This window comes from Homo sapiens, chromosome 4 (assembly GCF_000001405.40).
Source record: "Homo sapiens chromosome 4, GRCh38.p14 Primary Assembly".
Taxonomy (NCBI): domain Eukaryota; kingdom Metazoa; phylum Chordata; class Mammalia; order Primates; family Hominidae; genus Homo; species Homo sapiens.
This window is the reverse complement of record NC_000004.12, coordinates 123,082,587-123,095,238: the sequence shown is the minus strand read 5'-3', so window position 1 is coordinate 123,095,238 and position 12,652 is coordinate 123,082,587. Positions and strand designations below refer to the sequence as shown.

The following is a 12,652-nucleotide window of genomic DNA, read 5'->3' as shown; positions in this document are numbered from 1 at the left end:
TTTTATAATTATCACTAAATACTGAAGGCACTTTCCCCACCATAACTACAGAATATATACAGCACATTTAGGCCATGGTTCAAAATAAGAGGGAATCAATGAATAAAAAGAGGGATGTGAGGAAAGTGTGGATAAAAGATATATATATATATATATACACACACACACACACATATATATATATATATATATATATTTTTTTTTTTTTGTGGGGAGGGATATAAAGAAAGTGATTTTGTATGAGGGACCTTGCATGGTGGATTCTTGTCCTAGAGTAAAGTAACTGGTTGTTTGAGAGGGAGATGGTGTAGGACAGGTCACAAGGTCCAGACATGTCATGGATGGTCTGTGTGGGTGATAATGGGGTTTGTGAAAGGGAATTTGTGAGGGGAGTTTTGTGTGTGATTAAGCTGGCTGTGACTGAAGGAAAACTGTTCGTGGTAGACTTTCTAGAAAATGGTCTAGGTGTTAGAGCCAGCTTTTCTTAAGGTATTAATTTGCTAACTTACCAGAATTTTTGCTTTTTCAATTCTGTGATTTATTTCTTTTGAAAGCTTCTCAGATTTGTGTAACTCTTTCCTTTAGCTTTTTTGTCAGCTCCTGTAACTTGTTTCTCCTCTGGTTCTGACTGCTGTTATGGCCTGATACTAGAGTGTTTTGCCTTAGAGATCTACAGGAACACTTTTCCCCCAGTATAGCTTGATTTGATGCTCTTGGTTTTTCTTGATATATAATCTTATTTTTGGCTTTTAATATTTGACTCCTATATTGCTTAAAATGTTTTAAGCCACCTCCATTCCTCTCTGGCCTAAAATGTTTAATTGGCTATAAGTCTTTTGACTTACACGTTCCCCGGCCAAAGGAAATCCTACAGAAACCTAAAAAACTAATTCAAGCCATGATGGGAAATAGGGGGTTGGACAGACTTCACTATGCCACCCCGGCTCTTGGAATTTAGGCCAGGTTCAAAAGGCCTTTCAAAATTATGAAAATAAAGTGTTGCCGTTTCCCACAAAGAAAAAAATAGTTCCTCTGTTTAACCAGACTTAGTCTTACTAAGAACTTAAAAAGAAAGATCCCCTGATGATCAATTACAACCCAAAATGGAAGGACCCCTATCAGGTATTGTTAAGGACCTCCACTGCTGTCAAACATTAGAGAATCACTAGCTGGATACAGCTGTCCAGGATTAAACCTGTTTCTTGTAAGTCGCTGCAGGCATAAGAGGAAGACACCATAACTTACAAACCTCTAGAAGACTTAAAGCTATTATTTCACAAACACACAGATAAATAATGTGATGCTGTGGGTGGGCATAGGAGCATTAAGTTTTCTCTTCCTTATAATTGTAATTTTCTTGTTTAACCTCCTACTAAAGTTTGTATCTTCTAAAGTCAACATAAAGATGATGCTGGCACAAGGCTTCCAACTCATCTTATCTTCTGACCCAGAAAATGAAAATATCCTGCTGTTGGGCTCCTTAGATCAGGTATCCAGAGATTTTTACTCCTCCCATGCTAGGCAGAGCCTATGTTTATAAAATCAGCAGAAAGCACTTACAGAAGATAGACCTGTGCCCATCTGCAGCCCTTTAAGATTAAGGAGGAGTTTCTAATCTCTGAGGGGGGAATAAGGTAGGAGACCAACAAGACTTGTTTTCTGGTGAAAAACTCTGCTGAACAAAACAGGATCTAGTCCACATGGGGCAAAGTGAAGAAACTGGCCAAAGCCAGCAGATGGCAACAAAAGCGATCTCTAGCTGCGCTCAATGCTCATTGGCCTAAGACACTGCCACCAGAACCATGGCAGTTGACAAATGTCATGGCAATGACTCAAAAGTTACCACCCGTTTCCATGGCAGTGACCCAGAAGTTACCCTTTCATAGAATCAATTTGTGTTAACTCACCCTTTAATTTGCATGTAAATGAAAGTGGGCATAAGTGAGTATAAATACAGTTGCCAAAAGCCCACACCTTGCCAACTCTGGGTGCACTGCTTATGAGTTAGCCCTGCACCACAACGGGCAGTACCAATCAATAAAAGATTGCTGTCTAACACCCCCAGCAAGTTCTTGAATTCTTTCCTGGGGGTAGCAAAGAACCCTCCTAGGCTATGTCCCAATTCTGGGGCTGGCCTGTCCTGTATCACCCTGATAGAAACATATCTTCTCCCACTTATTCAATCAAATGCTAATCTAGGTGCTACTGCGAAGGGCTTTTGCAGGATCCTTAATCAACTGACTTCAAGGTCCAGAGATTTTTCCTCAATAAGGCTAACCTCATTAGATGAGCCCTCCAAAGGGACAAATTTCCTGGCAAAGGAAATTTGAAGTGTGACAGGGATAAAACATAATGGAGTTTTCCATTGCTGTTTCTGATGGAGGAGGGGGCTGTGTGGCAAGGAATGTGGGTAGTCTCTAGGAGCTGGGAGTGGCTCCTAGCTGACATCAAGTAAGGAAATTCAGTCTTTAGTTCTCAGCCCCAATCACAAGTGAGCTGTGCCACAATCATGTGAGTTTAGAAACATGAGCTCCTAATGCGAATGCAGTCTAGCCAACACTGTGTTTTCAGTCTTTAGTTTAAATCCTGAGCAGACAAACTAGTCATGCTGTGCCCACATTCTAACCTAAGAAATGTGAACTAACAAATGGGTGCGAAGCTGCTAAATTTGTGGTAATTTGTTACACAGAAAGAAAACAACAATACAAGCACTAAACAGGCCAAGTCAGACAGCTTGATTTAGAAAAATGCAGTTAAGTTTACTGTAAGCCTTACATCCTACTTCAAGAAATATATCTAATATCGAGGACACCCAACATTAGGAAGCCAAAGAAGGCTACTATTAGATTAAGCCGTAGTGACAAAAATCCTAAGACATTTTAGAGCTTATTAACCACAGGGAAACCAGGAAATAAATATCATAAAAATACAATGAATTCTTACCAGGAGAAAGATTTTTCTGGATTCAGCACCCTTTATTTGTGAAACCAGAGGCAGAATTAGGTAAACTTTAAGGGCTCTTTCAGCAGTTTCTACAGTCCTTGTTAAGATACAGTCTTATACTTTGTATAGACTTCAGAGATGCCTTAACACCAACCCAGATTCTATAAATACTCAGAACTCACCTATCTTCTAATAAAATACTGCATCAGGAAGGGAATGATTTTTTAAGGTCCAAAGCTTTCCTGAATTTTACCAAAGGATCTTTATCACACAGCAAAATACCTAACCAAAGCAAGGCTTTCTTGCCACATAATAGTTACATTCAAAGGGGTCTTTTTTAAAAATCACATCTTTTAAAACTGAAAGAATGTGTATATGTACACAGGAAGAAAGTAGCTCATAAAGTCATACACAAGGCAATAATGCCAGCAACAACAAAAAAGAGAAACTGGTTCACGCTCTGAGAGCAAATGTTTACTCAACTTAAATCCTTATAAAATATTACATATTAGATATAGATGAGGAACTTAAATTACTGAACTCCTTTATTAAATTATGACCTAGGGAAAAAGTGGTAGTAATAGTTTAAAAGGACTGGTTTTGCACCTATACTACTTAATTTAATGTGACAGCCTGACTAACTTCTTAAAAAAATAGAAGAATCCATTATTTTTATTCTAATTACTTTAAAAACAACAATTAGGACAGTACTTCTTCAAAGTTCTTGTGTTGATGGCAACTGGAGTCTAACTAGTACTTGCTAAATAGCTAGAATGTACCTTCGTATAGATGAAAATGTTGAAAACTCTGGAAGAATAAATTAGATGAAACAAAGAATTTCAAAACTTCAATTCTCTAGAGAAATATGCTAAAAGTAAGATACAAGATTGGGGAGTAGATATTGAAGAGTTATGAAATAGTTTCATTAATACTGAATCATAAGCAATAAAAATGTAAATAAAAGCTTTCCTTTGTTCTCTTCATTTCCTTTAGTTTAAGATCCTTTGTAGGACAGCTCTCTGGGTGGTCTTGGAATGACCAAGTTCTCTCTCTCCCATCGTAGCTCTCAAGAATAACTGTAGCATGTGCAGGAAATGCAACATCCTGAGACAGGGAGGGACCGGCTGGAACAGCCCAGGTTCTACTCCAGTCCTCCCCTAAAAACAGGATGTCCTCCAACACTTTAGCCCAGTGAGTCTCACATACTCAGTGTATAAAACCTGGAACAGGGTGCTTTCCAGAGGCCCTCAGCTGCAGTGCAAGTGGGGCATATGCAGTCAAGATTCCATTCACCCAGGGCAGTTTTCCTGAACCTTGAGAGACTAGCTTGCAATGAATCCTAGGCTTCTGTTGTATCTTGCTGCCTATCCAGAAGTGGTAAACTTGCTTTGTATAACTTGTATGCAAGAATGTTCTGTCTTACCAGACTCAGACAAGATGGTAACCAGTCCACAGTGAACCTGCTTTACATTCTTCAATATCCTCTAAATGAAATACTGATTAGAAAGTAATTTGACAAAAACAAAAACCTGATAAAATCAAACAAGCCAGTTCTTGATTTTATAATATCCACAATGCCTTCTCTCTTACCTTGTCTATCCTATCTGGACGGTTAGTAGCTGCCAAAATGGTCACATCCTTTAGCTGTTCAATCCCATCCATTTCTGTTAAGAGCTGAGCCAAAACACGATCGGCTACATTCCCAGCACCTAAAGAACTGATTTTGAAAGTACGGTTTAAAAAATATCTTTACTTATCTTCAAATACTATTATCTATTAATTTTTAAAGGTTCTATAGTCTATAACAAGAGAAATCATGTCTATTTTCAAATATGAAGTATGCATTTGAGACTTTATTTACTGCATTATCATATCTCAAAACAAACTGTATTCAAATCATTTATTTTCCTCTATCATCAACCATGTTCATTTTCATTCCAAAACAAAAATATTTAAATAAATGTCAGAAATAAAAGCACTGGAAAACAAGATATAAGATTATTTAAAATAGTTCATCAAATACATAGAGAATTGTTCAATCAATGTTTATATTCTACATGGTAAATATGTTGACAGAAATTAGAATAAAAAACTGAGTAAGATGCAAACCCATTCCTCACATGAAACCTAAAGTCTATGTGAAATAAAAAACTCATTACGCATCCACAGCAACTAGGATATTTCTGATGTTTCTTCATAAATATTAAGAATATTTTTAAAACACATCAGAAGGTAGGTAATCACCACAATCCCGATTTCTTGAGAAACAGGCAAAGAAAGCAGGCTAGTTTTTTTTCCTTTGGTTTACGTACCAAGTCCATTACAAAGCCAGTTCTAAACACACTATCCTCTAACTTCATGTCCTTTGACCACAAAAAAATTACTAAATATAAGTTTTTAAGAAATAAACTCGGGCCAGGCGCAGTGGCTCACGTCTGTAAAACCTTTGGGAGGCCGAGGCAGGTGGGTCACTTGAGGCCAGGAGTTCAAGACCAGCCTGGCCAACATGGCGAAACCCCGTCTCTACTAAAAAAAATAAAAAAATTAGTCAGGTGTGGTAGTATGTACATGTAATCCCAGCTACTCAGGAGGCCGCAGCATGAGAATACCTTGAACCTGGGAGGTGGAGGTTGCAGTGGGCGGAGATCACGCCACTGCACTCCAGCCTGGGCAACAGAGTGAGATTCTGTCCCAAAAAAAGAAAAAAAAAAGAAGTAAACTCAACAGATCCTACTAATGAACAAAACCCTGTATCACACAGTCAAAATGTGCAAAATAATTCTCATTAGCAATAGCTTGGATTTCCTCCAAGACCTATTTGGAATTGATAAATATGTAATAAACAACTGAGTGGACAATTATAGAGTAACACAGCATTGTAAGCGTATTAAACATGTAAATTCAATTAGATGCACTTGGGTGGAAGAGGACGTAAAGTAGAAGGAGATACACACCCAATAACTTTGTTAGCACCTGTGACAAAGAAACACACCTCAGTATAATCATCATGTAATATATTTAATAATAAGGTAATCAGCATCTCTAAATGACAGTATTTAGACTTATAAGTTAAAGTATTTAGTTAAGTATTTAGACTTATAAGTTCAAAAATTTGACTTAGTGTATCCACAGGAGAATAGCCTCTAACTCACACTAATCAAATGCACATGAGGTTGTCATACAAATCACAACGCTAATTTATTAATTTAACATGGTCTTCTCCAGTATTTAAAATATATGGGACCAAAGAGTACTTGCAAAGTCAATGAGAACTGTTTTGGGCACTAATTCTTGCAGGTAGCTACTCTGCCGGTACACAAATTTGCTTTTTTGACTCTACGTAAGAATAAACATTGAACACTATAAACAAATGGATTCTATATCTGTATTAGACCGTTCTCACACTGTTATAAAGAACTACTGAGACTGGGTAATTTATGAAGAGTACAGGTTTAATTGATTCACAGTTCCACTTAACAGCAAGCATGACCGGGAGACCTCAGGAAACTAACAATTATGGCTGAAGGAGAAGAGGAAGCAAGGACTTTCTTCACATGGCAGGAGGAGAGAGAGAGAGAGCACGAAGGGGGAAGTGCCACACACGTTTAAATCATCAGATCTCATGAGAACTCACTCACTATCATGAGAACTGAAAGGGGGAAATCTGCCCCCATGATCCAATCACCTCCCACCAGGAGTCTCCTCCAACATACGGGGATTACAATTTGACATGAGAGTTGGGTGGGGACACAGAGCCAAACACTATCAACATCCTTCAAAAGATTCTCCATAATATAACTTTTCCACGTGGGAGTTTAACTGTCAAGTAGAAACACAGTTGGCAAAAGCTTTAGGAGGTCTTTCATAATTACTACAAGCATAGTAAATATTTCAGGCTGCCAATAAATTACATCGGAGGCCTTTAATTGTATCTACTCTGCTAATCACTTGTGATTCTATACCAGAAAAAACTCAGGAAGGTAATATGGACAGGTCTCAGGAGAGTCAAGGTGGGCTGTCATAAGAAAGATGGTTTCTAAGGTAAAACCTAAAAACTTGGTGGGTATCAGGCAAGCAAAGGGTGAAAGGAGGGAAAGAGAGAGAACACAGAATACTAAAAACTGGATAAAGTGCACAATGGCTCAGCATAACAGTAAAGTGAAAATGTATTATAAAAGATAGTACAGAAAAATAAACCAAGGCTGAAAACAAAGACCTTGTTATCCAAATCATGGAGTTTGGATTTTATGCTACAGTTAATGGGATGTTTCAACTAGAGACATGACCTAATCAGATTTGTGTTTTTGAGAAACACCATGGCTGCCTGCAGTGTAGAGAAGAGACAATAAAAGGACAGCATTGTTCCAATTTCTGGTCCAGAACGTTAAGAGCTCGGAAGTCTTCGCTCCGTCCTAACAGCAAGTAAAAAGCTGAACAAACTGAAAAACCAACTCTTCTTAGATACATCATATTAGTAAGGTCACAGGGCAAATCACTGCCCCCAAAATTGGAGAGACAGACAGCCCAGGTACAGAAAATCACAACTTTCTGGAGCGGAAACCCACAAAGAGAAACCTCCATGAGAGCCAGTGCCAGGGTAGGACAACTGGAAATGCAATTAACAAACTGCTGGGGGTTCAGTGTTTGACAAGTCTGAGAGTCATAGAGCGGGGTCCCTCACACATTTGTGAGTTTTATCTTCAGCAACTACACCAGCTTCTCACAGTGAAGATCTGAGAAAAATTACCCTGTGCTTCTGGCAGGAGGAAGGAAAAGTACCCATTGTGAAATACACTAGAGCATTCTCTTCTTAAAAAGGCCTGCTCCTCAAGAGAAAATATTTTTTCCCAGAGCTTATGTTATTGAGGTTTTATTAGACACCAACTGACCCAGAGGAAGAGAAATACCCAACTTCAGCCCTCTCTAGCCTTTCCCATGGGAGAATGAAAATAAAAAACTCCAGCTCCATCTAGCCATCCTGTCCCACCTAACGGGAGAAAATTGTGAAGTTCACAGTCCAAGGGTATAGACTCACTAAAAGACTCAGACCTAATCACAGGACCATGGAACACTCCTTCCCATACTCCCCCCAACACCTTACCATTATATAACTAAAGCCTCATTTACTGCAATTCATTTTATCCCATATATCATGTCTGGCTATCAAAGAAAGATTACAAGGCCTACGAAGACAGAAATAACACAGTTTGAAGAAATTGAGTACACATCAAAAGCAAAGTCAAATGTGGCAGAAACACTAGAAGTGTCAGACCAGGAATTTTTAAAAAACTATGATTAATATGTTAAGGATTCTAATGGACAAAGTAGACAACAAGTAAGAAAAGATGAGTAATGTAAGCAGAGTGATGGAAATTCTAAGCAAGAATCAAAAAGAAATGCTATAAAAAAGAAATGCTAGAGATCAAAAACACTGTAACAGAAATAGAGATTACATCTGATGGGCTCATTAGTCAACCGGAAACAGCTGAGGAAAGAATCTCTGCACTTACGGATATGTATATACAAACTTCCAAAACTGAAAAGCAAGGATAAGGAAAACTTTATGAAAACAAAATACTGGACTAGATTTAAAAAAAAAATAATAAAACCACACAGAACAAAATATCTAAGAACTATGAAGCAAATAGGTGTAGCATGTGTAATAGCAACACCAAAAGAAGAAAGAAGAGAACCAATATTTGAAGAAACATTCACTGAGAATTTCCCCAAATTAATGTCAGATACACATCCAGGAAGTCCAGTGAACACTGAGCAGAATAAATGTAAAAACAAACAAACAAACAAAAAGCTACACATAGGCAGAAAATCAAAGATTTTTAAAAAACCTTTAAGAAGTCATATGTCGAGGGGTGGGGACCACCTTACTTACAGAAGAGCAAGAATTACGTTAACTTCTCCTCAGAAACCATGTGAGCAAAAAGAAAGTGAAGCGAAATATTTAAACTATTGAGAGAAAAAAACCCACCAATGTATAATTTTATATCCTGCAAAAACATCCTTCAAAAATGAAGGAGAAAATTTTTCTCAAATAAAAATAAGGAATTTGTTGCCAGTAGACCTGCCTTGCAAGAAATGTTTAAAGTTCTTCAGAAAGAAGAAAATATAGGTCAGAAATTTTGATCTATATAAAGAAAGAGAAAGAAGAAATAAAGAAGATAAAAACTTTAATTTTTCCTACTTTTAACTGATCTAACAAAAGCTTGTTCAAAATAACAACAATGTATTTGATACCTATAGTTTACGGACAAGTGAAATGAATGACAAAAATGATACAAGGGACATGAGAAGGATAACTTAGGAATTTTTTTTATTATAAGGTACTTGCACTACCTGTGAAGTGAATAGGGCTATTTGAAAGTAGAAATATATTGCAAAACTTAGGGTAACAACTGAAAAACAAACAAACAAAAAAACCCAAAAAACTTAACAGTCTAAGAAAAGAGATAAAATAAAATAACATAAAATGCTCAATTAAAGCCATGAAAGAGAAGAAGAAATGGGAATGAAGAACAAAGGCGACTAATAGAAAACAGTAACAAATATCGTAGATATTAATCCAACTATATCAATAATCACTTTACACATCAACGGCCTAAATGCACCAATTAAAGAACAGAGATTGAATGAATAAAAAAAATAAGACCTAACTATATATTGCCTACAAGAAACCCACTTTACCAACAAAAACAAATATAGCTTAAAAGTAAAAAAAATGAAGAGAGACATACAATGCTAACACTAAGCCAAAGAAAGCTGGAGTAGCTATATTGATTCCAGACACAGTAGACTTCAAGCATGCAAAATTCTCAGAGACCAAAAGGGGTATTATATAATGATAAAAGGGTAAATTGTCTAAGAAGACAGAACAATCCTTAACGTGTATGCATCTAACAACAAATCAGCAAAACGTGAGGCAAAAACTAATAGAACTATAAGGAGAAGCAGATGAATACGCTATTATAGCTGAAAACTTCAACATCACTTTATTAGAAATAGATCCAACAGGCAAAAAAATCAATAAGAACATAGTTGAACTAAATCACAATTCAACTGGATATAACTTATATCTACACACTAATTCATACAGCAACAGCCAACACATTCTTCATAAACTCAGACAGAATATTCATCAAGATAGACCACATTCTTGTCCATAAAACACACATGAACAAATTTAAAAGAAATCATAGAATGTCTGCTTTCAGACCAAAATAGAATTAAACTGAAAGTCAACAGCAAACAGCTAAAAAAAAAAAATTCCAAAATACTTAAAAGACTGAACAACACACTTGTAATACAAAGGAAAAAAAAAGAAACTTCAAGAGAAATTTTAAAATATTTTTAGGCCGGGTGCAGTAGCTCACGCCTGTAATCGCAGAACTTTGGGAGGCCGAGGTGGAAGGATTTCTTGAAGCCAGGAGTTTGAGACCAGCCTTGGCAACAGAGTGAGACCCCATCTCCATAAAAAATAAAATAAATGTAGTCAAGCTTGGTGATGCATGTCTGTAGTTGTAGCTAGTTGGGAGGCTGAGACAGGAGGATCACTCGAGCCAGGGAGGTTGAGGCCTTAGTGAGCTGTGATCGCACCACTGCACTGAGGTGTGGACAGCAGAGCAAGACCCTGTCTCTGTCTCTGTCTCTCTCTCTTTATATATATATACACACACACACACACACACACACATATATATATACTATTTACATATATACACTAGTTTTATAGATATATATCTATAAATATATAAATAGAACTTATCAAAGTTCTATTGTCTATAAATATGCAAAGAAAATAGAACTTATCAAAATTTGTCAATGCAGAGAAAGCAGTACTTAAAGCAAAACTTATAGTATTGAGAGTATATATTAGAGAAGATCTAAAATCAATACTAAGCTTTCACCTTAAGCAACTAGAAGAGCAAGCTAAAGTAAGCAGAACGAAAGAAATAATAAAAATTAGAGCAGAAATCAATGAAATCTAAAATAGGAAGTCAAAAGAGAAAAAAACAATGAAACTAAAAGTTGGTCCTTTCAGAGAATCAATAAAATCAATAAGCCTGTAGCCAGGCTATCTACGAAAAAAAGAGAAAAGACATAAATTCCTAATATCAGATATGACAGAGGACACATCACTACAGATCTATATATATTAAAAGGATAATTTTAAAAAACTAAGACATCCTATGGCCCAAAATTTGATAACCTAGATGAAATGAATAAATTCCTTAAAAACTTCAATCTGCCAAAACCCACACAAGAATAAACAAATTGAATAGGCCTGTGTCAGTTAAAGAAATTAAATAAATAATTAATAACCTTTCAAAACAGAAAGCACAAAACCCAGATCGTTTCCTGGTGAATTCAACCAAACATTTAAGGAAAAAATTACACCAGTTCTCTAATCTCTTTTAAAAAATAGAAGCAGAGTGAATACTTCCTCATTCTATGAAGCCACAATTAGACGAATACCAAAACCAAACGAACATATCACAAAAAAAGAAAACTACAGACAAATATTGCCCATAAACATAGATGCAACAATCCTCAACAAAATCTTACCAAATCAAATCTAACAACATGTAAAAATAATTATGAGGTGGGAGGATTACATTAGCCCAGAGTTCAAGAATGCAGTGAGCTATGATTGTGCCACTACACTCCAGCTTGTGCAACAGAGTGAGACCCTGTCTCTTAAAAAAAAAAGAAAAAAAAAAAAAAGAATAATTATATACCATTATAAAGTGGGATTTATTCCAAGTACCCAAGGCTAGTTTAACACTTGAAAACATTACATTACAATTGATGTTACAACTGATGTAACATTATATCAATTAATTTAATCCATCTCATCAAGACTGAAGAAAAAAATCTCATAATCATATAAATAGATGAAGAAAATATTTGACAAAATCCAATACCCATTATTGGTAAAAACAAACAAACAAAAAAACACCTCTCAGCAAACCAGGAATAGAGCAGAACTTCCTTAACTTGGTAAGGAACAGCTACAAAAAACCTACAGCTAACATCACACTTAATGGTGAGAAATTAGAAGCTTTTCTGCTATGATTAAGAACAAGGCAAGGATGACCCTTCTGCCCATTCCTTTTCAACATCACACTACATAAGAAAGGGAAATAAAAGGTACAGATAGGGGAGGAAGAAATAAAAGTGTCTTTGCAGATGATGTGATCATCTATGTAAAAAGTGTGAAATTATCAACAAAACCACTCCTGAATCTAATAAGCAATTATAGCAAGGTTGCAGGATACAAGGTTAACCTATGAAGTAACTGCATTCTTATATATCAACAATTAAAAAGTGTTTCAAATTAAAAACACATTATCATTTATATTAGCACCCCAAAAAAATGAGTTATAACTCTAACAAAATGTGTACAAAATCTATATGAGAAAAAATACAAACACCAATGAAAGAAAACTGAAGAAAATCTAAATAAATGGAGAGATATTCCACACTCATGGAAAGGAAGACTCAACACTGTTAAGATGTCAATTCTTTTCAACTTGATCCACAGATTCAATGCAATCCCAACCAAAACCCCAACAAGTTATTCTATGAATATTGACAAACCCATTATAAAGTTTATACTGAGAGGCAAAAGATCCAAAATAGCTAATTCAATATTGAAGGAAAAGAACAAAGTTGCAGGACTGACACTATCCAAATT

At 36.1% G+C, this 12,652-nt stretch overlaps 1 protein-coding gene across 17 annotated transcripts in view; it reads right to left on the bottom strand.

The window, feature by feature from the left end:
- The window catches only part of AFG2A (AAA ATPase AFG2A), a 396,356-nt gene that overhangs the window by 224,195 nt on the left and 159,509 nt on the right, over positions 1-12,652 (bottom strand). For all 17 annotated transcript variants that reach the window (XR_007096375.1, XR_007096376.1, NM_001438322.1 and 14 more), the window contains one exon: positions 4,534-4,660. Coding sequence is in view for 15 of the 17 variants with exons in the window: in NM_001438322.1 (NP_001425251.1) it covers positions 4,534-4,660 (127 nt within the window). In the remaining 2 variants the exon portion in view is untranslated. The remainder of the gene's footprint in view (positions 1-4,533; positions 4,661-12,652) is intronic.